Below are 25,310 nucleotides of genomic sequence, written 5' to 3'. Positions count from 1 at the left end.
ATCCACAAACAATATTATTTATTTAACAAAAAATATTAGTTAAAAATAGAAATTAAAAATTCTTAGAGCTATGCTATCACATTTCTTTTTTTTTTTTTTCAACAATTCACAAGTAATTACATTTGTCAGACTAAAATCACAGGTCAAAAGTTGTGGAAAATGTAATGCCTAAAATGGTGTAGGTGACAATAAAAGAACTAGGGGGAAGAAGAGATATAGAAATGCCATAGTCAATTTTGAAAATAAATTGTTAGGACACTCAAAAACAAGGGGGTTATTACCCAGACCCTGCATTGTCTTTTTAGAGGGATACTGGAGGTCATCAGGCTGAGTAATCTTGTTCTTGGTTTTAGAAAGGATTGGTGCTCTCATAAAGCAGCCATATTACTTGGCTTTACTTTTTTAGCTGCCACCTTGAGATTTTTGGTGCTTGGTTAAGGAAGCAACAGCAGCTTAGTGGTTACTTCAAGCATAAATAGTAGAGCGACACAGGAATAACTTACTTAAGGCATTCACAGGATGATTTTTATAAGTGAAACTAAAAGATTTATGTAAAAAATGACATAATTATTTTTTTGATATGACCTCAAAAGCACAGGCAAAAGAAGCAAAACCAGATAAACAAGAGCACATCAAATTAAAAAGTTTCTGCACAGCAAAGGAAAAACTCAAGAGAGTGAAGAGATAACCTGCAGGATGAGAGAAAATATCAACTGTCAACTGTAATCAACTGTAACAAAATGTCAACTGTACATCTGATAAGGTGTTAATACCCAAACCATATAAGAACCTTGAATAACTCAGTAGCAAGAAAACAAATAATCCGAGTAAAAATGGGCAAAAGACCCACATAGGCAGTTTTCAAAAGAAGACACAGAAAAGGCTGAAAGGTATATATAAAAAAAGTTCAACATCACCAATCATCAGGGAAATGCCGATTAAGACCACATCAGATATTACCTCACTCCTATTAGAATGGCTATTACCCAAAAGATAAGAGGTAAGAAGTGTTTTGCAAGGATGTGGAGAAAAGGGAACCCTGTATACTGTTGGTGGGAATGTAAATTAGTACAGCCATTAAGGGAAATAGTATGGTGGTTCTTCAAAAAACTAAAAAATAGGACAATCATATGATTCATCATTCCCATTAATGGATATATCTACAAATAAGACGAAATCAGCACGTCAAAGAGATATCTGCACTCCCATGTGTATTGCAGCACAACAGCCAAGGAATAGAATCAACCTAAGTATCTATCAGTAGATGAATGGATAAAGAAAATATGGTTATATACATCAGAGAATACTGTTCAGTCATAAAAAGAAGGAAATCCTGCCATTTGCAACAACATGGATGAACCTGGAGGACATTATGTGAAATAAGCCAGACACAGAAAGACAAATACAGCATGATCTCACTCATATGTACAGTCTGAAAGGTTGAAGTCAGAGAAGTAGAGAGTTGAAAGGTAGTTACTAGAGGTTGGAGCAGTTAGGGGGTGCAGGGTTGGGAAGATCCTGGTCAAAGGATATAACATTTTATTAAATGGGGGGATAAGTCCTAAAGATCTATTTTACAGAATGGTGACTATAGTTAATGATGATATATTGTATTTGTGAAAAACGCTAGGAGAACGGATGTTAAAAGTTCTCCCACAAAAATGATAACTATGTGAGATGATGTATACGTTAATCAGCTAGATTTAATCATACCACAGAGTATATGTGCCTCAAGGCATCATATTGTACATGATAAATATGTATAATTTTATCTGTCAGTTTAAAATAAACTAAATAAATTTGAAAGTAAATGACACAATTATTGAACATTGCTCACTACTTAAAAGTCATCTGAGGGAAATACAAATGCAATATGGGAAGATTAGAAGTATCAAAAACCACCCTTTGCCTATTTTATACTTTGAGATGGTTAAGCAAATATCTTGATGATAAAAATACCCTAAGAAACTGTGGTTTTTGAATGCCAGAGCAGTGTTTCATGATCAAAATGAGAGGTTAATAAATAATTCATAGGTTATATGTGAAAATTTGAATAATTCAGGAAACGTCATGTAAATAAGTGTAGTCTTGAGTTATATAGTTTAATACAATCTTCACCACACGTTTATCATTAGTGCTAACATATGTTATTCACAGAAAAGTTAGAAAAAAGTAATGTCCAACTTACATTCACACTTTAAGCTTCTCTTTTAAAAATAACTTCAATGTATAGTCAAATAGTAATTATAATACATTCATCTATGAAAATTGATTAGAATTAGTATTATAATTTATTCTAAGAGTTTTATAGTATTTAACCATTTTTTTCCTATTCAAGCCATCTGGTCAGAGTACTCTTTCTTCACTGGTTATGTACTTACTGTATTCCTGGTACTCTTCTTAATGGTAAGGATGTGGAGTTGATTAAAACATAGTCTTCATCTAATAAAATGCATACTCTTAAAAGAGAAGCACATACCTCGAATCCTAATTTTGTTGTACAGCAGAAAGTGCAATCATAGAGGCAGCCAAAAGGTTTGGGTGGGCCATAGGATGGAGGAGCAGGCTTGGAGGTGCAGGGCAATCCTCCAAAGGCCGAATTGAATCCCATAGCGGTGAAGAGAGGAGAAGTCAGAAGGAAACACAAGGACTACAGAATGAGAGTTGAGGTAATGATCATGAAAGAGTGAAGAGCTTAGCTTCTCTACAAGTTGGTCCAACAAATATTTACTGAGCACACTTACATGGCAGATGCTATATTAGCTTTGGATATGCAGTAATGAATCTGCTTATAGACTGCTGGGGGAATCGGTCATGTAATAAATTTTGTACAGTTATGCAAAAATTATGAAAAAGGCATAGAAGAGTGCTATGAAGACACTCAGTTAGAATGTGTATATCACAGCCTGGTGAGGAGGGTCAGGGGAGATGTCTTGAGATGAGGCTGGGCTAACAGTCAATGAATGACTAAGAGATAGCCAAGCGTGGCATAGAGTTTGATATCATTGATGGATAAAGAATGTATTCCAGAGGAATGGAAAAGTACAAATCAAGGCACTATGGAAAGAAAGAAAATATTGTGTAAAGTGAACTCCAGCAATATTAGGTTAACAGAGCACAAATTTCCAGGAGAACAATTAGGATTGGTATGGCCAAAGATAAGTCTGAGGGGTTTACAGAGAGTCTTATGTAACATGTTAGGTAAGTTGGATCTATTCTATGCATCAAAAAACATTTTTGGAGAAAGTTCAAAATCTTAGAGTAAATATAAGTTAAAAAGTATTAGCAAGGAACTCTAGTTCTTCAACATGTCTTAGGAAGTGAAATAATCAGATCTGGATTTTAAATAGGTTAATTTGATGGAAGGAGCATGTAGGAGGATGAGTTTAAGGAAGGTGAAAGTAAAGAGTCCAATTAGGAGGCTATGAAGAGAAGAGACGATGGATGTCTGAACTAGAGTAGTTGTGTGTAGATGATGAGGAGGAAATGGATTTGAGAAATATTCAGAGAGGAATAACTGTCAGGACTTAGAATTCATAAGGAGAGCAGGATGGGGAAGAGAAAAGGTTAAGTTTCAAGGTTCTAGTTTGAGTGACTACGTGAATGGTTCTTCTGCCAAGTGAGCTGGGAACTAAAAATTGAAAAAAATTGAAGGTGGGGATAATGTATCTAGTCAACTATGAGCTTAAGGTGCTCATAGAGCTTCCATGTAGGAATGTTACTGGTTTTTGGAGACATGGACTAAACACCTAGATTTGGGATCATCATCATGAATTATCAAAAACCATGAGAAAGGATAAGATTACCTAGGGAAAATATGTACAATAAATGAAGAAATGTTAGAGAATGTCACCTGGGAAATAGCCATATGAAAGGAAATTATACAAGAAGAAAAAAAGTAAATTCTATAATTGAGACTAAATAAATACTAGATAGGTAAAAGTAAACCCAGGAAACTGGAATCAGGATAATCTTGATAAAAGGATGATTGATACTGTTAAGTGCAGTAAGAGTCTTATAAAATAGGACAGAAAAGAAGTTATTTGACTTGACAAATAAACATCATCATGACCTTAGCAAGATCAATGTTAATAGAGTGACAGGAGTTTGCACTAAGAGGAAATAAGATGGAAAGTGAAGAGGTACCAGGGGATGACCAAGGTAAAGTAGGTCAAGGCCAAACCTTGATTGGTACAATATCTAGCCAAGGAGTTTTGATTTTCTCTTGTGAACTACATGAAGTTACCTGAGATTTCTGCAGAAAGAGCTAGCATTATCAGATTAATTTGAAAAGATGACTCTGAAGTGGTATAAAGATGGATTCAAATGAGTCGGCAGTGGAAGCAGAAAAACAATTTAGAAAGTGTAGAAGTGAAAATGGACACTCCTGCCATGCTTTCATTAAGAACGACCACTTCACATACCACAGTCAGAAGGAAAAAAAAATACTTTGTACCTGGAGATAATCCAAATATCACAGAATTACTGTCTGCTTCTGATCTCTAAGATATAAAACCTTGAATTTTTCTGTAGTACCCAAACTTCCTAACAAAACAATTTTCAGCCTGACTTTGACAATGTTATAACTGAAGATTTAGAATGATCTCTGAAAATATAAAATCAAGATGGAAAGCTGCTGTTCCTATCATGAACAGCATGAAAACACCAAGTAAACTAGGTAACCTTAGTAATTCCAACTTAGTCTTTAAATACTTAATTGTTTTTGTTTTGCCAATGTTTCTGAAGTCTAATGTCCTCTCTGTATTTGTCATAATTAAACATTTCTTTCCTTTTCTAATTCTTTTTTTCTTTAAAGTCACAGAGCAGGTAAGGTTCTCTCTCAAAGACTGGAATTCAGGCAGTGTATCTTTAGAGACTCCTTCTTAACCATCCACCATGGTATAGCTTCTCTTAATTTATCCTCCTCACTCTCTTTATAAAAAAAATTCTTTATTTTTAATTGACAAATAAAAATTACATGTTTATCATGTACAATATGTTGGTTTGAAATATGTATACAATATGGAATGGCTGAATTAAGCTAATTAACATTTGCACTACCTCCCATACTTATCTTTTTTTGTGGTGAGAAAACATAAAATCTATTCGCTTTGCTCTTTTCAAGAATACAACACATTGTTATTAACTATAGTCACCATGTTGTAAAATGAATTTCTGGAATTTATTCCTCCCATCTAACTAAAATTTTGTATTCCTTGACCAATAGCTCCACAATCCGCCTCCTTTCCCTAAGACCCTGGTAATCACCATTCCGCTCTTTATTTCCGTGAATTCCAGTTTTGTTTTGTTTTTTTTTTTTGATGCCACATATAAGTGAGATTATGCAGTATTTGTCTTTCTGTGCCTGCCTTATTTCCCTTAACCATAATATTCCCAGGGTTTAACCATCTTGTTGCAAATGACAAGATTTCATTCTTTTTTTTAAGGCTAAAAGTATTCCATTGTGAGTACATAGTACATTTTCTCAATACATTCACCCATTGACTAACACTTAGGTTGATTCCATGTCTTAGTTATTGTGACTAATGCTGCAATGAACATGGGACTACAGATATATCTTTGACATAATGATTTTATTTACTTTGGCCCTCTTTCTTCAATATTGTGTATTACTTGTATACGTATCTGTTCCTTCTGGAATGTGTTTGGTTTATGCTTTGATAACTTTTGAAAGAAAAAAAAGCATTGTGTTATTGATTTGTTTGACTTATTCCCCAATAAGTATTATAGCTTTATACAGTTTTACATTATATACTTTAAAGGTTATGCAGTTTTATTTACAAAAACAAAGAGAAATATACATAAGTTTTTAGTTTATCAAAGAATAAAAAAACAAGTTGAATTATCTTTCTTCTTAGTACTTGAGGTTACAAAGAGACTCTTAAAGTCAACAATAGGCAAAATTTGAATCAGCAAAATTTAAGATATATATCCAGCCCATATTTAGCACAGTGTTTTCTTGTGCATACTAATTGACCAAGAAACATTACTTAATTAAAACAAATTAAAGTAATATGAACCCAAATATAAACTAAAGGTATTGATGTAGAGTTAGAGTGTACAGGACATATGCTTGAGTATGACAGTTTATGAAGACATCCAATTATGTTGTGAAAATGTGGCGGAAGTACTTAGCAGTTAACACTGTAATAACAATGGCTACTTTGAAGGCGAATAATATTCTACTTATAATCAGTAAACTGAAAGCAGCATTTTAACTTTTTTAAAGCATTAGGCCAGTATTCCTCTTAGAAAGCTGACAGAAATATTTTACATTTTGATTAAAATTAACTGAGGTGATTTCTGGGGCATGATGGATGGTAGCTAGCTGCACCTGACTCAATCCCTCTAAGCATCCCATGGAAACTTCCAAGAAAACCAAAAAGGATGCAAAATCACAACCGTATTGGAAATTAAGGTTACCAATCAAAGATTTCCCAGTTTCTGGAAGGAACTTTTTCTAACTTTAGGCAGCTGGCTAGATGGAGAACTATTCAGTGACTGCTGATATATAAACTCCTAAAACACTAACCTGACAGAGAGGAATGGGAGGGTATTTCTAGAAACCTTCCAATGTCTGCCCCCTTTATCAGAGATCTGGGGCCTAGACTGCTGCCAAGCAAGGCTATCAATCCCTCCCTATTTCATGCTAATGGACTCCCCAGGCAGTAAAGCTGTTTCTCCTTTCCCACACCTTCTCACTCTATATCCATTAAAGAGCATAAAACTCCCAAGATTCTAATACTGCCTGTACAATAGGGAATGAGCAATGGGATGTGAAGCTACTTAGAAGAAAGGGCTGGAAGAACCCTGGGAACAATATACCCTGGGGATTATGTAGAATCTTTTATGCTCTGCTTTTAGCAAGACAAAATTTACTGGTTGTTTACATTGTTCAGAAAAAGAAATATACTTAGAAAACTCACCAATAGAAGCTAAAAAATATTTTCCCCCAGTCTAAAAGAGTGCTTCATTTGAATAAAGAAATGGCAGAAAGTGGAAAATTTTTAGGGGCTGGTCTTTCAAAGTTTACAGGTGGATGCTGACAACATCCAGGTGGTCAGCAAACACGTATTCAAAGAAACCCTGAAAGTTGCCAAAACAAGCAGGATAAAAACATTTCACTATTTCAACACACACACACACACATGCACACCAAACACAAATAGATATGTGTATATGTCTACATGAAAACACAAAAACAAACACCCAGCAGGAAATACTGCTGAATATGATCATAGTGTTATCTCTGGTTGGCGTTATACATTTTTGTTATTTAAAAAATGTACATTGTATATTTTTAAATGTAGCATTAACGTGTTTTATTACCCTAACCAGAAAAAAATATGTAAAATATACATCTTAAATTTTGCTAATTCAAATTTTGCCTATTGTTGATTTTAAAAGTCTCTTTGTAACCTTAAGCACTAATAAGATAATTTAACATGTTTTTTATTCTTGTTTGACTAAATTATTTGTACATATTTTCCTTTTGAAGAAAACTACATAAACTTTAAAGTACATCATGCAAAATTGTATAACCTATAATGTTTTAAAATATCATTGAACAAGAATTTTGTTGAAGAAGTCAAACAAATCGCTGACAAAATGACTTTTCTCTTTCAAAATGTATTACTGACAAGTAATTTCTAGTTAGGAGTACATGCCTCATGGTATAATAAAATTACTGTAAAATAGATACCAGTTTAATATTACTTAGTAAAATATATCAAGAATTTTAAAGATATTAATGAAATGATCTTGGTGCATAAGTTCCTAACGCAAAATAAAGGTATGAGAATGGTGAATATGTGAAAATCAAAAAAGGCTAATAAGAAAAACCAAGCATTTCACTTAATGCTACTTTTCTTTCCACTAGATATTTTATTACCAGTTTCAATAACAACTTAGCATTACCATAGTGTTTTTCTTGTGAGCTAATTAATCAGCAAAACTTTTGTTGTTTGATTGAAAGGAAATGTAAATATGTCAAAAATTTAAATATGAGTAATACATTTAGTTATAGTTAAATTAAACAGTTTTTAATACACCTAAAGATTAAAGATACAATACTTAGGAGTAGTTGCCACCTGTTAGAACTTACATTAAAATTAACTTCTTAAAAATAACTAGTGACTTGGGATTTAAACAAATGGTTGACAGCCAAGATTAAAAGCTTACTCATTTGATACTGATTTTGCAAAATAAAATACTGAAACTGAGCAACAGAATTTTCAGGTCATTACAATAATTTTTTCCCCAGTTTGGTAAAAATACCTATCCTTTTCTAGAAACTGTGCTTAAAAGCATGCTAAATTAAGGAAGGTAGCTCCTAGTACCAAAACAATAGTCTATGTTGAACTTGCCTTTTCATGACTCTAAATAGTAAATGATTAGGCAATTGATGTGATAAAGGTGGTAGTAGTATGTATCAAAGTAAACATTTCTTGGATGGTTGAAGGAAAAAAGAAAAACAGACAAATCTTACAAAAGGAAAAATATGAATCAGTATTAGTGGCTACATTTCTTTGAAACCTTGAAGAAATGGTCAGCAAAGTGTGTGTGCATGTGTGTGTGTGTATGTACATATATATAGATATAGATATAGATATAGATATAGATATAGATATATAAAATGAGGCGGGATAAAAGGAATCTGGGTGGCCAATTTAGAGTTAAGAGTACCAAGGCATAAAGATGCTTCATGCTAAACCTAGCCGTCTTCTGTGACCTTAAAAAGTGACTTCATCACTTCTAGATTCAGTTTTTCCATCTGCAAAATGAAAGGATTTTTAGAAGATCTAACCCTTACATGCTCTAACATGCTATGCCTTTCTGAATATAAATAACATGTTGGCTGTGTCCGGCTGCATTCATCACTTCTCTCCACCATGAGCATTTGATTCTATTGCAGCCAGGGGTTAGGAAAAATAGCAAGAAAGCACTGGACACAGAAGTCAGCCTGAGGCAATCATTGCTCTTTGCAGAGCTTTCAGCTAATGGGCTTCTATAGGAGGTTCAATTTGGCAAGATGTCCGCCTCTGAGTTTGCATGGGTTCTCTCTTTATGTGTAGTTACAGCCAAGGCAAACTTTTTCTTGCTTCTAACCATATTCATTGAAAATCATTTACTTTTAACAGCTACAGTTCTAACACTACTTAAATTATTCTCAGGGTGGAAATAGGATTACAAGTACAACCAATAATTAAAAATGACTGACTCAGAGGTGCTGCAAACCACTTCTTCAAAAACCAGAGAGTACATCTTCAAAAAAAAAAGGTCAAAAAGTACTGTTGCAATCTCTGGAAATGTTTAATATTCTCCCCTAAAGACATGATTAAAAACAATGGATTAACATTAAAACATTTGACTTTACTTTTGCAAGTAAATGGTGCTAGTGTCAGAAGAATTCAACAAATGGAATTTTAGTTCCATGGGAAAAGTTAGAGTAATAAACTCTAAAAAGATGATACTTACTGCAAATAATGAAACATGGTACTGACATAAAAATAGACACATAGATTAATGGAACAGAATAGAGGGCCCAGAAATAAATCCACACATTTACTGACAAATGATTTTCAACGGGAGTGCCAATGAGAAAAGGATAATCTCTTTAATAATGATGTTGAAAAAACTGGATGTCCACATGCAGAAGAATACAATTTGACCCACCCTTATCCCACACCATATAAAATATCAACTCTAAATTGATTGAAGACTTGAATGTAAGACCCAAAACTATAAAACTACTAGAAGAAAACATAGAGGAAAAACTGCATGACATTGGTCTGTGCAATGATGTATTAGTTACAACCTCAAAAGCACAGGCAACAAAAGCAAAAATAGACAATGGGATTGAATTAACCTAAAAAGCTTCTTCACAGTAAAGGAAACAATCAACAAAGTGAGGAGCCACCCTACAATGTGGGAGAAAAAATTTGCCAACTATACATTTAATAAAGCGTTAATATCCAAAATATAAAAGGAACTCAAATAATTAAACAGCAAGAAAACAAATAACATGATTAAAAAATGGGCAAAGGATCTGAATAGATATTTCCCTGAAGAAGACATACAAATGCCCAATAGTATATGAAAAATATGTAACATCACTAATCATCAGAGAAATGCAAATTAAAACCACGATAAGCTATCACCTCACTCCTATTGGAATGGCTATTACCAAAAAAGGTAAAAGATAACAAGCCTTGGCAAGGAGGTGGAGCAAACAGAATCTCGTACACTGTTGATGGTAATGTAAATTATTACAGCAATTATGACAAACAGTAAGAAGCTTCCTCAAAAAGTTAAAAATAGAACTATTATATAATCTATTATTTCCACTACTGGGCTTATAGCCAAAGAAAATAAATCAGTATGTCAAGAAATATCCGCACACCCATATTTATTGCAGCATTACTCACAATAGCCGAGATATGAAATCAATGTAACTGTCCATTGACAGATAAATGGATAAAGAAAATGTATATACATACAATGGAATAGTATTCAGCCATAAAAATGGAGGAAATTTTATCATTTGCAACAACATGGATGAACATGGAGAACATTATGTTAAATGAAATAAGCCAGGCACAGAAAGAAAAATACCATATGATCATCTCATTCATATGTGAAATATATAAAAAAAGAGGAACTTACTGAATTAGAGAGTAAAATGGTAGTTACCAGGAGCTGGAGTTGGCTAGCAGGGTGGGTGCTGGGAGATATTTGTTAAAGCATAAAAATTTTCACTTGGATATGAGGTATAAGTTCAAAATGCCTATTGTACAACATGGTGATGATAGTTAATAACAATGCATTGTATTCTTGAAAAATGCTAACAGCGTGGAAGTGTACTCATGACACAAATAACTATGTAAAGTAATATATATGTTCATTAGCTAGATTTAGTCATTTTACAATGTATATATACTTCAAAACATCATGTTGTATATAATAAATACATAAAATTTTATCAATCAATTTTTAAAAAAATTTAAAAAGCAAATAATGAGATAGTTACTGGCAAGTTTTTGGCTAAAGCAACTGCTACAAAGTTATTAACCATTAATAGTCAAAATATTATTGGTCTAATATGTATTTCAAATAGCACATCTGGGTTAATGTCACTTGCTATTGTTGAACAAAAAAAATAAAACAATCCTCTAACTCACATGCCAGTTCAGGGACAGGTGTCCGAAATCATACGGAACTTGTGGTTTTCAAAGACTAGAAATGACTTTCATCTAAAGTTTAAAAATAATCAATGAACAGAAGAACAAGGTGATTGGAAAGAAGTACCAAAAGGAAGATTATGATTCTTAGATTGTTGCAAGCAATTTCAGAGATACTATGCAAAATGAAAGGAAAGACTATCTGCATTTCTGATGTTAGAAATACACTAAAACAATATTCATCACACTTGCTCCCCCAAATTCAGCTCAGCATTCTAACTTATCAGTGATAAGTTAGAATTTTATTCATTCTCGTCACTAAAGATGACTCAAACACTTAAATGTCACTTCTGTTTTGACCAAAAACATCATAGCTTCTCAAAGATGCTATGGGTTGCTAGAGCCCAGTTATGGAGATTTTGAGTACAAGAGCAATGGTGTGTGACTGGAAAATAAATAAAAGGCACAGATTTTAGAGGAAGACAGAAGTTGAAGGACAAGTAAGGGTGGGGCCCTCAGGCTGCCCATCGGCTTCCTCTGACACTTCTCATCTGTGCTTGGATTTGCTTCCTCTATACCTATGCCCTTATAGCCCCCATGCTTGTTACTATTTAATCTCTTTGTTCTCTTCCCCCTAAATCAGGAGCTTACTAGAGACAAGAGCTATCTTTTACTGCTATTTCCCCATTGCCTTGTGCTGTGGTCTGAACAGTTGTGTTCATGAAAAACTCATATGTTGAAACCTATGACTCAAGGTTGTAGTATTAAGTGGTGAGGCTGTTGAGAGGTGATTAGATCATAAGTGGGGAGCCCCTCATGAATGGGATTTTAGTTGTCTTATAAAAGAGGCCCCAGAGAGCTTCCATCCCTTTGGCCATGTGAAGCTTGCACACAGTGAAATGACAGCCATAAATGAACCAGGAAATGGCCCTCGTCAGACACCAGATCTGATGGCACCTTAATTTTGGACCTTCTAGCATCCAGGACTGTGAGAAATAAATTTCTGTTGTTTATAAGCCACTCAATTGATGGTATTTTTTATAGCAGCCTCACAGACTAAGACATTCTATATAAGTCCTCATACTTACATCCTCAGAAAATCTATTGAATAAATTAATTTCATCTTCTAGAATGTGGGGTTCATGAGAAACTAGACTGACTTCTTGTTCACTGCTGTAACCATAGAAATGTTTCTGGCACATGATAGGCACTGAGTAAATATTTCTTAAACAAATGAATGACTCCATTAAGCAGCACTCTTTTTTACAGATAGACTCCTGGATAAAGCAGTTAAAACAGACTGTGACTTTAAAGTAACCTGTATCCAAACAGTTCTGATTTAAATATAAATTAGATAAAGATGGTCAGTGCCAGGGTACATTACAGGTTGTTTTGTAAGCACATCAAGGTAAAAAACACCGACCTAATGCTTTCCTCTCCTTTGCTATTGTAGAGGCAAAACCATAGCCTAATAGAATCTCAGACTTTGTGAGACATCTTAGCCTTCATGTTACAATAAATGACTGATTAAACACTCAAGAAAATGTATTTTCTTGACAGAAATAATCTCCAGAGGATGATTTAAACCATAATGACTGATATAGAATTCCCCGGATGTGTTCAGCTGTGAACAATTAGTCTGTCAAAACACTATTAGGAACATACACATTGCATATATAGATGAAAAGCATCAAGAACTCCCAAAATATTGATGATGGAAACAAGTTCTATGCCTCACCCCATGATGCAAAATATGTGGAATGGTGTGTTCCTTAGAGAAGGGGAACAGCCTATCATTCTTACTATCATTAGTTAGAAAATTGTTTTTATTTTAGATGGATGGTTGCATTTGCCATGTGGGAACAAATTCTTCAGGTCCTTGATCAATCACTTGTCCAAACAGGAAAATTGTAATCCCTCTCCTACTGACGCATGCTCCAGAACAAAGGGTCATTTTTATGTAACAGGTAGGGCTAATAAATGGTACCCTCACAGAAAATATTCTGTGGAAAGAGGAATGCTTTATAGTAAGCTGGAGGTACCTTGGAGCACTGGGACGTTCAGTCCTAATGCTCAGGTTTACCAGCAAAATAGTTTCAGACTCTTTTGTCTGAAAAGAAATTCACAAGAGAAAAATTCAGTAGTGTACTACCAGATTCTGACTTAAAACATACTTCCCCTTATTTATTTATTCTCCAAATCCATCTTCAAAGAAATGGGAATGTGCTCAAAAGAAACCAAGAAATCTCTAATAAAAGAGGAAGATTATGAAATTACCCGGGGATTTGGCTAACCCTAAAGAGTATTTAAATATCAAAAGAAGGTACAATTTGATTTCTGTTTTTGATCAAATAGTGTCTAGGAAAATCCACAGAATTAAGGACTTTTGTCTTTTTCGAAAATGGTTAAGTATCCTTATTATAGAGAAAAGACAGCATTTCTTCTTTGTAGCTGAGTTTTCCAATTTTGTTTTTTTAAGAATTAAGAGGAAGTACTTCTGAGACAGGCTTCAAATGTTGCGTTCTAGGTTTTGTTGTTCTTTCGTTGGTTGGTTGGTTGGCTTTCCGGTTACTTTTATTGTTGTTGTTCCCTGATGCAAGGTTTCAGAACAACAGAAAAATACCTATTCATTAGTCAACCGGTTTAAATTAAAAGATAGATTTATTCATAAACAGTTTTTTTTTCAGTTGAGTTAGTGCTTGGCCAGCAATAGCTTAGGGCTCAAGTTACAATTCAATTGCAAAAGCATCATTTTAAAAGTATGGTGGAAACTATCTCTGAAAGCTGTATTTCAACTCTTGACTGAAAAAAGAACTCAGTACTCTGAAACTTCCTCAAATTTTTAAAAACGATCAATCAATGTAGTGTGCTCTCACCCTTATTACAGCATAAATGGTGACATAGACCCCTATATCAGCTCAATTAAACTTTTCATTTTCACTTTCTTTTTGGCAACTGAAAAACTCTGGCATCTAGAAACACACTAGGAGAAGGTAAAAATAAATGTAATTCTGATAAACAGCTTCTGCCTCTGATTCCCTCAATTGCAAATATGTACTGACTTTCTATCATGTATCAAGAACTTCTTATGAAGCAGTAATGAAAGATATGATTTCTCTCTTCAAAATTTCAATTTGTAAGTCGTGGAATAGAATTGAAGTGCACCTCTATGCTGTTCCATTCTATTCTCTTTCCTGGATATAATTACAGATTACAATTATATTAACAGATTGAGATAAAATGAGTACACGTATATTTTTGTATAAAAACAATAATTTCTAATAACTAATGAATACCAATAAATAATATTGGTATTCATAAAATCTTTATTGGTACAATAGAGATTGTATCTATGTTGGTAGTAATTTCCTTAGGATTGATCAGATTGTCAACAGAATTTTTTTCTTCTGGCAAAGTAATGGAAAATTTTGTACTGCCAAAGCAAAAATTGCACCAAAGTTAATTAGACAAGGGAATTTTCATTAAGGCTACTGCAACAGGGACAAGATCAGGTAAGGGTTTTTTTTTTTTTTTTTTTAGTTACATCTCAAAGGAACAGAGAAAGAATTTACAATTGTAAGTTTTCTAAAGTAAATGCTCTAAGGGAAAGGAGGTCAGAGGCCTGTGGGTTTAGGTCATTTGGAATCTGCAAGGGCTGGGAGGAAACGGACGTCAGGGCGATAGAGGCAGAAAGAAGCCTGTCTAAAGTTTTGCTAAGCTGGGAAAAATGTTAGGCTTGTCATGATAAGTATTCAGTGCTAAAAGAAACATGTGATATATAAAAATATTTTTAAATCAAATGTATAACCACAAGTACACATAATCTACCACATTATTGTCACTGAAGTGTAATTGTCAATGAATCACAAAACCTAAGGCATTCTTTTGCTTTATTTCTATCTGCCTTGTTTTCACTCCTTAGACCAGTGAATCTATGGCCCTCATGCCCTCATGCCAAACCCTGACCAAATTCCGAGTTTCTGTTTTTTAAAATAAAGTTTTATCAGCACACAGCCATTTCCATTTATTTACTTAATATCTATGGCTGCTTTGCACTAGTACTGCAGAGCTAAGCAGTGTAACAGAGACTGGTACAACTACAAAATATTTACTATCTGGCCCTTTACAGAAAAAAAAATTCCAACCCCTGCTCTTAGACAGTTGTCTAGTGTGAACAGGAGTTTTGCCTTTCCTGAGATTTATAAATACAATGAGACCCAATATACCTGCAGGTCACTTGCTACCAAATAAATATTCAAAATATTTTTGAAAAATACTTATCTTAAAGGCTTATCAGAAACTCAAAAAAAGCAACCATTTGTCTCTCCTCTACCTGTGCCCTGGAAGCCCCCTCCTTGCTGTGAGTTGACCCCGCCTTTCTGGATGGAACCAATGTACATCTTACATATATTAATGTCTCATGTCTCCCTAAAATGTATAAAACCAAGCTGTGCCCCGACCACCTTGGGCACATGTCGTCAGGAACTCCTGAGACCATGTCATGGGAGCGTGTCCTCAACCTTGGCAAAATAAGCTTTCTAAATTAACTGGAAAAAAAAAAAAAAAGAAAAATACTTATCTTTTACTTAGATTGAGAGGCAAGAGTTACATTATACAATGTAATAAAATAAGGAAGGGCTAATTCTCCTCTTTCCAACGATCTATGTGATACATACTTACCATTTTTCTATATTAACATGACTGTGTTTCTTAGAACACAGAAAAGATGGAAATGAATGAATCTAACATCAGCTCCCAGAGATATTTTAGAATAAATTTAACTTAATCTTTTCTTTTAATGGGATTCTATCCAGCAGCAGGTTGTTTTGATTTTGTAACCTACCTTTCTTTAGGCAGAACAATTCATTTCCCTTAGACTGTTCATCATACTTGCATTTTAATTGTGCTATAACTTTATACTAGGTGTTCTGAATCATAGCCTTTGGCATGGGATGGAACAGATGTCAAAATCACAGACTCTATTATGGTTGACCAATTATAAAACAAGTTCCCTCCAAAGTAGTGAGCTCCCTATTACTGGATGTGGATGAACAAGGGATGATGACCATTAGTCAGGGATCCAATAACAAAGTTTCTAGATTTGAGAAGGAGGTTCAATCGAGTGATCTCTAAGGTTTCTTATTTTTTTTTCACATCTAAGAATCTATATATCTTTATTATTTAGCATAAGGACATTCTATGTACTGAAAAAGCATGCACAATTTCTCTATCAGTAATTATCATTCATGCTTACATTATGTTGTTCTAGAATTATGATTAGAGATTAAGGGCTATGAACAGTAAACTTTGAAAAGAAACACTGATAGCATTGAATCTATCAATTACTTTGGGAAGTATGCTTCATCAAGCTACCACTGACTTTCTTCACAGAATTAGAAAAACACTACTTTAAATTTCATATGGAATAAAAAAAGAGCCAGCATAGCCAAGACAATCCTAAGCAAAAAGAACAAAGCTGGACACATCACATTACCTGACTTAAGTAAACCAAACAGCATGGTACTGGTACCAACACAGATATAGAGACCAATGGAACAGAACAGAGGCCTCAGTAATAACGCCACACATCTACAACTATCTGATCTTTGACAAACCTGACACAAACAAGCAATGGGGAAAGGGTTTCCTATTTAATAAATGGTGTTGGGAAAACTGGCTAGCCATATGCAGAAAGCTGAAACTGGATCCCTTCCTTACACATTTTACAAAAATTAACTCAAGATGGATTAAAGACTTAAATGTAAAACCTAAAAGCATAAAAACCCTAGAAGAAAACCTAGACAATTCCATTCAGGACATAGGTATGGCCAAAAACTTCATGACTAAAACAGCAAAAGCAGTGGCAACAAAAGCCAAAATTGACAAATGGGATCTAATTAAACTAAAGAGCTTCTGCACAGCAAAAGAAACTATCATCAGAGTGAATAGGCAACCTACAGAATGAGAGAAAATTTTTGCAATCTATCCATTTGACAAAGGGCTAATATCGAGAATCTACAAAGAACTTAAACAAATTTGCAAGAAAAAAACAAACAGCCCCATTACAAAGTGGGCAAAGGATATGTACTTACACTTCTCAAAAGAAGACCTTTAGGCAGCCAAGAAACATATGAAAAAAAAGCTCATCATCACTGGTCATTAGAGAAATGCAAATCAAAACCACAATCACATACCATCACATGCCAGTTAGAATGGTGATCATTAAAAAGTCAGGAAACAACAGATGCTGGAGAGGATGTGGAGAAATAGGAATGCTTTTACACTGTTGATGAGAGTGTAAATTAGTTCAACCATTGTGGAACACAGTGTGGTGATTCCTCAAGGATCTAGAACTAGAAATACCATTTGACCCAGCAAGCCCATTACTAGATATATACCCAAAGGATTATAAATCATTCTACTATAAAGACTCATGCACACGTATGTTTATCACAGCACTGTTCATAATAGCAAAGACTTGGAACCAACCCAAATGCCCATCAATGATAAACTGGATAAAGAAAATGTGGCACATATGCACCATGGAATACTATGCAGCTATAAAAAAGGATGAGTTCATGTCCTTTGCAGGGACATTGTTGAAGCTGGAAACCGTCATTCTCAGCAAACTAACACAAGAACAGAAAACCAAACACTGCATGTTCTCACTCAAAAGTGAGAGCTGAACAATGAGAACACATGGACACAGGGCGGGGAACATCACACACCGGGGCCTGTTGGGGCGTAGACGGCTAAGGGAGGGATAGCATTAGGAGAAATACCTAATGTAGATGATGGGTTGATGGGTGCAGCAAACCACCATGGCGCATGTATACCTACGTAACAAACATGCACATTCTGCACATGTACCCCAGAACTTACATTCAAAAAAAAAAAAAAAACAAAAGAAAATGAACACTGATTTTGGCCCAGTCTTCATTCATCATTAAGATGATTGAAATTGACTTCTTATCTGGACCAGTATCTATTCAGTTTACATGAAAATGAGATCTTGTTGTTAATATGAAAAAAGTCATCTAATATAAATAATTTACAAATTACACCTGGTATATATCTGAACCATATGCACTTATAAAATTAGACCAGGTCTCAAAAAGGAAACTATGGGGAAGTAATGAATACTTCTGTTCATTACTAAACCCTTACTGAAATTCAGTTCTAAATCCTCACTGAAATTATAATAAGTTAATTCTGTGGTATCACATTTTTTATACTGTTTGCGTTCTATGGGTGCTAAATAAATCTTTGTTTTACTGAATTAGCAGTACTGATATAAATATGAGAAGGAAAGACATAGTCTAAAATTTGGAACAAGACACCATAATAGCTCTGGACCTGTCTCTCTCACTAACAGGCTTTGTGACCTTGGACAAACCAGGGCTTTAGTTACCTCAGATATGGAATAAGTCACTGGCTCTCAAACTTTAAAGTATATGAGAATCACCTGGAAGACTTGTTAAACCATAGGTTGCTGGATTCCACCCTCAGAGTTTCTGATTCAGTAGGTCTGGGATGGGGTGGATAATTTGCATTGCTAAGTTGCCAGGTGCTGTTGATACTATTTGTCAAGGAACCACACTTGGAGGACAGAACAAGGATTGGAGGATGGTGGTAGTGAATTACCAAGTCATTAATACTTTACAGCTGTAAGAGAGAGTAGTCAGCATCAAACATGCACAGTGAAATATAATCCTCTTTTTAATCAGTTTCATTTGAATTAGAAGTGAGATGAACGCTCCTTTCTTTCTTTATATTTTAATAGAGATATTGACCATGTAAATGTTCTGTAGTACTTACGTCATAGCTTGATAAATGGATTCAATTCCATAACGCATAGCAAATTCATCAACTATTTCTTGGGAAGCATCATCAAAGAAAACCTTCCAGGCTTCATCCCCTTTGACTTCTGGGATTTTCACTCCACCATTAGATTTCACTTCAGTCAAGTAATGGAACAGATTCTAAAAGCAAGTGGTTTTTAATTGTTCAGTGATTCCTCAGAATAGGCCAGAAACATTTAACTAAAACTTCCAGTAAAATGCTCTTGCACTGTCATTGCCTCTAATGTTTCATCAGCATCTGCAAGCAATAGGAATATCTTGAATTTTTATTCTAACTCAATTCATCTTTTATGCAAAATCTGCTTTGATTTCTGCCTGGGTAAAAGCGCTGATATAAATATGGGAAGGAAGGACATAGTTTAATATTTAGGACAAGATGTCATAATAGCTCTGGATAGGTCTCTGACAGTAACAGGCTTTGTAACCTAGGAAAAATCAAGGCTTTAGTTTCCTCAGCAAATAAGGCACAGGTTCTCAAACTTTAAAGTATATGAGAATCACCTGGAAGGCTTATTAAACCATACATCGCCAAGTTCCATTCTCAGAATTAGATTCTATTACACTGCAGCTGAGAGGTTAGTTAGAGGTGTCACTGGTGACTCCCTGATGCAAATGATACTTGTCTTACATCAAAAAATATGAGATGAGGCTGAAGAATGTACCCTTATTCATGTTCAAAGTGATAAAGTACCTTCCTAAGGCACTTTAGATAGTAAAGTTGGGTGGGTCTACACAGAATCAATGATTCAAATATTTTGTACATACCAAACCATTTGCAGAAGGAAGTGAGTGTTTTTGCCTGAAAACATTTCTACATGATAGAGCGTATTTTGCATTCAGGCATTCTGAGTAAATTATAGTGCCCTGGATGAATAATCTGATTTTGACTATGTTAAGGCAAAATTTAGCTGTGTAAATGATACTAAAGGATTTGGGCTGCAAAATGGTAAGAGTCAGGGCAATGAATCGAGGTTGAAAATGAATGTTGGAGAATTTTGTAACGAAATAAAATTACTACTCTCAATTCCTTTTTGCTTCTAAGTTTAGCAACTGCTACTTTGATAAAGCCAGGGTAAACTGAAGGACTTTTTCTTAGATTTCAGTTCTTTCTGGTTCTTGGACCAGTAGAAAAGACTTTGTAAAGTGAAGTGTACTGCTGTTTCTCTGACTGCAGATCTTCTCTGCCCACACTTTAAGGCCCGAATTCTCCATCATGCCAGTTCAAGGGATTTCTTTTTATTGGTCTGAAAAATGAACCATCTCTCTTGAGGGAATAATATCACTAACCACAAAACTGTGATTATGAAATTAAGCCTAGGTCCTATACCTAAATCGTGTGTAATATACACACGATTTAAACACGGTTCCTCATTTCTTTCTTAGTAAAATGGGGTATAAATATTTACATGTATAAATTTTCATGAATATATGTAGAAAAAATAATATGCACAAAAGTAGAACTATCTTTCAGTTGTCTTTTTCTGAGGAAGGTACTTTGTTACTTTGAAACACATGAAGAAGAGTACATTCCTCAGCTTCACCTATTTTTTGATATGAGACAAGTATCATTTGCATCAGAGAAAGTCTCCCGTGACACCTCTAACTAAGCTCTCAGCGACAAACATTTGATAGACTCCCAAGATGATTTGTCTGTGCTTCTCTACTGAGACACAAAAGGGAACTGGTGAAACTGTGCTTTTGATTGATGTTGGGTGGTGTTTACCTCTCTCCAAGCCAACTAGGCCCTACTTTTTGGGTGAGTAACCACATCTTCATTTTCTCCATACTCACATGTTTGTAGAAAGAGAGGTTAACACGGAGGACTGTGCAGTATGTATGAAACTGCTTGTTGTACTCAGAAACAGGAAGAAAAATTAACTGCTTATTACATTGGCTCCCAAAAGCCATCAAAACAGCACCACATTTTTATGTTTCTAGTTATAAATAGAGTCCTAATTAAATCTTCAATAAAATCTGAACTCTAACTCGGAGTTCTCAAACACAATTACGATTTGATCCTCTCCTGCAATACCAAACTACTACATATTTAATGCTTCCAAAATATGTGGCATGACTCATTTCTTCAATCAATATTTTTAACACTCTTCTTCCTCTTTGGAAGAACATTAATTTTTTTGTATCTACTTATGCATTATCATCTTATTGCCTATTCACACCTGCCTCACAGGCTTGTTCTAAACTCTCATTAGATGACAAGTTCGTCAGGGGTAATACAACACATAGAATTTATGATATCTTAGTATATCACCTGCTGTAGTATAGAGTCAGAACTCCAGGAACCACTCTACAAATTCAATGATTTTTAAACCAAATATTCTGTTTTATAATCCATAATCAAGAACATTTCTTATATTTTGTATTAGTAAAATTCCATTTATTTACCTCATGTAAACATGTATATTGAATATGATATGGAGCAACCTTCTCTTCTCCTTTTATCTCCACATTGATTTTCAATCGTATGGCCCCAGATACAGCTGACTTATCTGTCCTTTTCTCTGATAAAGCAAAAAGGCAATTGGTCAGTCATGTCTGACAATAATGTTTTTCTCATACGACCTCTCAAAAGCTAAAAAACAAAAAAACAAAAAAACGGCTTAAGTAGCTAAAAGCTATTTTTCTGAGTCAGAGCTGCTTATTAAGTAACCATGATGAGGCCATATGTGGTAGCTCTTGCCTATAATCTCAGTGTTTTGGGAAGCCAAGGTGGGAGGACCACTTAATGCTAGGAGTTTGAGACCAGCCTAGGCAACATAGCAAGATCTAGTCTCTACATTTTTTTTTTTTAATTAGGCAGGTGTGTTGGTGCTTGCCTGCAGTCTTAGCTAATTAGGAGGCTGAGGCAGGAGGATCTCTTGAACTCAGGAGTTTGAGGTTATACTAAGCTATGATCACACCAGGGCACTTCACCTTGTCTAACAGAGTGAGACCCTGTCTCTATTTAAAAATGCAAAAAAAGTAACTATGATTCCCCTAAATACAATTAAAAATATTTGCCTATTGTGGTATTGTAATTATCAAGCGTCTTACAGATATTCCAAATAAAAAAACTAATCAGAAGACCCTGCAATTCTCATATATTTCTGTGTATTTGATCAGTTTATACAATGAAATTAAATAAGTTATTTGGCAATCAAAATCAAGAAAAACGGTGTATAAATAGGAAATTATTTTATCTGAAAGCTGTCACTACTTGGTTTCTTCTCTTTGTACTTGAAAAGATGAGCCAAAGTTCTGGTTTATAACAAAATGTTAATAGTTTTCATTGTCAGTGATTTATAAAGACCTACAGTCTATACCCTAGGCTAACTTATAAGTGCTGGACTGTTTATTTGAATGGAAACAACATATAGTCAATTTAGCCATAAAATGTGCGTGCGTACGTGTTCGGTATAAACTGAGCAATAGCTTTGCGATAAATAGAGGCATAATCTAGGCTGTGATTGTAGTGGAGGGTCCTAAGTTCAAGACCCATTTCAGATACAAAACACAGAGGCAATCTGACCCATTTCACAAATGAAAATAGGATTTAGGTAAGTGACACAAAGTCAGTGCGGAGGACTTTAAATTGGCCCTCTTTCTAAACATAGCTGTATCTTTAGCCGTATAAGGTACAGTTAAACCATGAAGATGACTTCCCTCTTGTGGAATGTCTGCTGACTTTTCACTGTTATTCTTTAATCGTCATTTGTGTTGCAAAGATTCTTCCCTTCTAAGTGCCAGGATCATAAGCGATTTTCCTACTGGTTGAGAGGGAGTTGATTCTCAAGAAATATTAAAATTCTCTGCTGGGCCCGGCGCGATGGCTCACGCCTGTAATCCCAGCATTTTGGGAGGCCGAGGCGGGAGGATCACGAGGTCAGGAGATCGAGACCATTCTGGCTAACACGGTGAAACCCCGTCTCCACTAAAAAATAAAAAAAAATAAAAAAAAAAAAAAATTAGCCGGCCGTGGTTGCAGGCGCCTGTAGTCCCAGCTACTCGGGAGGCTGAGGCAGCAGAATGGTGTGAACCTGGGAGGCGGAGCTTGCAGTGAGCCAAGATCGCGACACTGCCCTCCAGCCTGGGGGATAGAGCGAGACTCCGTCTCAAAAATAAATAAATAAATAAAAATAAAAATTCTCTGCTGGGGCCAAGAGAAATGCAAGACCTAGGGTCTTTTTTGGTCACACACCTCTTTCCAGAAATCCAGGGGAGCTTTATTGGTTCTTTGATTTTTAACTGTCATCATCCCTAAGGATCTTTGGGAAGCAGGCTCTGCTTGGACACCAAAGGCTTTCAGTCAAAACTTCCTTTGTGTAGTGGAATGAATTTTAAGTGATAAGGAGGGTTGTATCAAGAATAGAAATAGGTTATTTGTTTGGATAGAATGTATTTAGGGATTTTACACAAAGCTAAAAAAGGTAAAACCTGTACACACTCTCAAAGGTTAAACATCAGCAATGAGGGCAAAAAACTACTGAGGGTGGGTAGGTAAAGACTTACAATATTGCGTTTCATCACATTTTCATCTCATAGACTGAAGGACAGTTTCAGCATAAGAGCTAGATGGCTGATTTTACTAATAGCAGCATATTCAAATTCCTCAGCAAGTTCTGAATATAGTCTGGTACATGGTTTTTCTTTTTGTTCTTCTTCTTATGTATTTATTTTTTTTTTACAAGGTCTCACTCTGTGACCCAGGCTGGGATGCAGTGGCATAATCTTTTAGTCCACTGCAGCCTCAGTGTCCTGGATTCGAGTGATCCTCCTGCCTCAGCCTCCAGAGTAGCTGGGACTACAGGCACATGGCACCATGCTTGGCTAATATTTTTTAAATTTTTGGTAGAGATGGGTCTCACTATGTTGTCCAGTCTGAACTCAAACTCCTGGCCTTAAGCAATCCTCCCTCCTCCACCTCCCAAAATGTTGGGATTACAGGTGTGAGCCACTGTGCCAGGTACTCATATATGTTTTGTTAAAAGAATACATTGGAGAAATTTCTGTTCTGAATTACAACTTTACTGCCTCGACCCAAGAATATGTTAACGTATTACAGAAAAGAAGTCCATATAAAGATAAACCTCTTTCATAAAGAAATAATTTGTGAATGTTCCACAGAGTTAATGGCCTGAAATTTACCCTCAGTTAGTAATTCTATTTTCATATACGAAGTCATTTAATAGTTAAAACAAGCTTTGGGGGGTGGCTCATTATAGCAGAGGTAAAAATTCTACTCCAATACATAAGAGTACAAATCTTCTTTAAGGAAGATTTCTTAAGATAGTTTTAATAATTAGTTCTTAGTTTAACTTGAATCATCTGTGTTCAGATAAATTAAATATCTCTTTCATTGAATTATTCTATAATCTAGAGTTTTGTGAATTCAATGTGACCTCCATTTGTCAATTATTTCATTACTAAAAGTATGCAGATTTTTTTAAAGTCAAAAGCACTTTTTAATTTGTTAACATATGTTGGTATCCTAAGTGGTAACTCTTTGTAACCCAAGGAATGTGTCAACTCTTTAATTCATATCCAGCCAGCCCTCAAAAGTTTAATTAAAACACTTTATAGGATATGATTAAGACATCTTCAGATCGTGCCTTTGCAGAAACTGAGGTGACCCATATATTTTACTACTATTAAATCACCACAGAAAATTCTATGTTATTATTTTATTCTAGTAAAAGTTAAATTAAAACTTACCTTATTTAATTTCTGGTTCCATAATAATTTTTTAAATCATTCCAATTAATCACCTTCTCAGTATCTTCATCAAGAGAGTCTGCATGAGTTCACATGTTTACTTGACTTTGTCAACTAAAGCCTACTGTTATACCGTCATTTGAAAGCAATTCAAAATACATTTTTCCTTCATTGCCAAAATTTCATTAATGGACAAGAAGGAAATAAGTCAAATAGCATTAAATAATAGGTTATTTGTTTCGCATGTATTTGGCAAGGGTTTGTGAAGCTGTATTTCATACATTAAAAATTAAGAATGCAATAACATTTTTCTCTAAAAGACATCTAGGTAGTTCTTGGAAAGGGATTTCTCCTTTCACCTCAAATTTACCAAAGTCTTTCAACAGTATTGAAAAAAGAATAGCCTTTTCTTGTCAATGAAATGAATCATCTAAAGTTCAACAGAATGTCCTGGAAAGGCATTGGTTATTTTTACTTATATGGGAATGTAATACATGCCACAGGTATTCAGGGGTTTTATTTAACTCGTTTTCAAGTA

The 25,310-nt window shown here is 34.8% G+C and overlaps 1 protein-coding gene across 7 annotated transcripts in view; it reads right to left on the bottom strand.

The window, feature by feature from the left end:
* The window catches only part of UNC13C (unc-13 homolog C), a 795,839-nt gene that overhangs the window by 314,048 nt on the left and 456,481 nt on the right, over positions 1-25,310 (bottom strand). For all 7 annotated transcript variants that reach the window (XM_047432538.1, XM_017022220.2, XM_017022221.2 and 4 more), the window contains 2 exons: positions 21,467-21,582; positions 19,020-19,183 (listed from right to left, as the gene is read on the bottom strand). In XM_047432538.1, coding sequence (XP_047288494.1) covers positions 19,020-19,183; positions 21,467-21,582 — 280 coding nt within the window. The remainder of the gene's footprint in view (positions 1-19,019; positions 19,184-21,466; positions 21,583-25,310) is intronic.

Source organism: Homo sapiens, chromosome 15, assembly GCF_000001405.40.
Source record: "Homo sapiens chromosome 15, GRCh38.p14 Primary Assembly".
NCBI classification, from domain to species: domain Eukaryota; kingdom Metazoa; phylum Chordata; class Mammalia; order Primates; family Hominidae; genus Homo; species Homo sapiens.
Note: the sequence above shows the minus strand (reverse complement) of the source record. Positions and strands in the feature narration are given on the sequence as shown.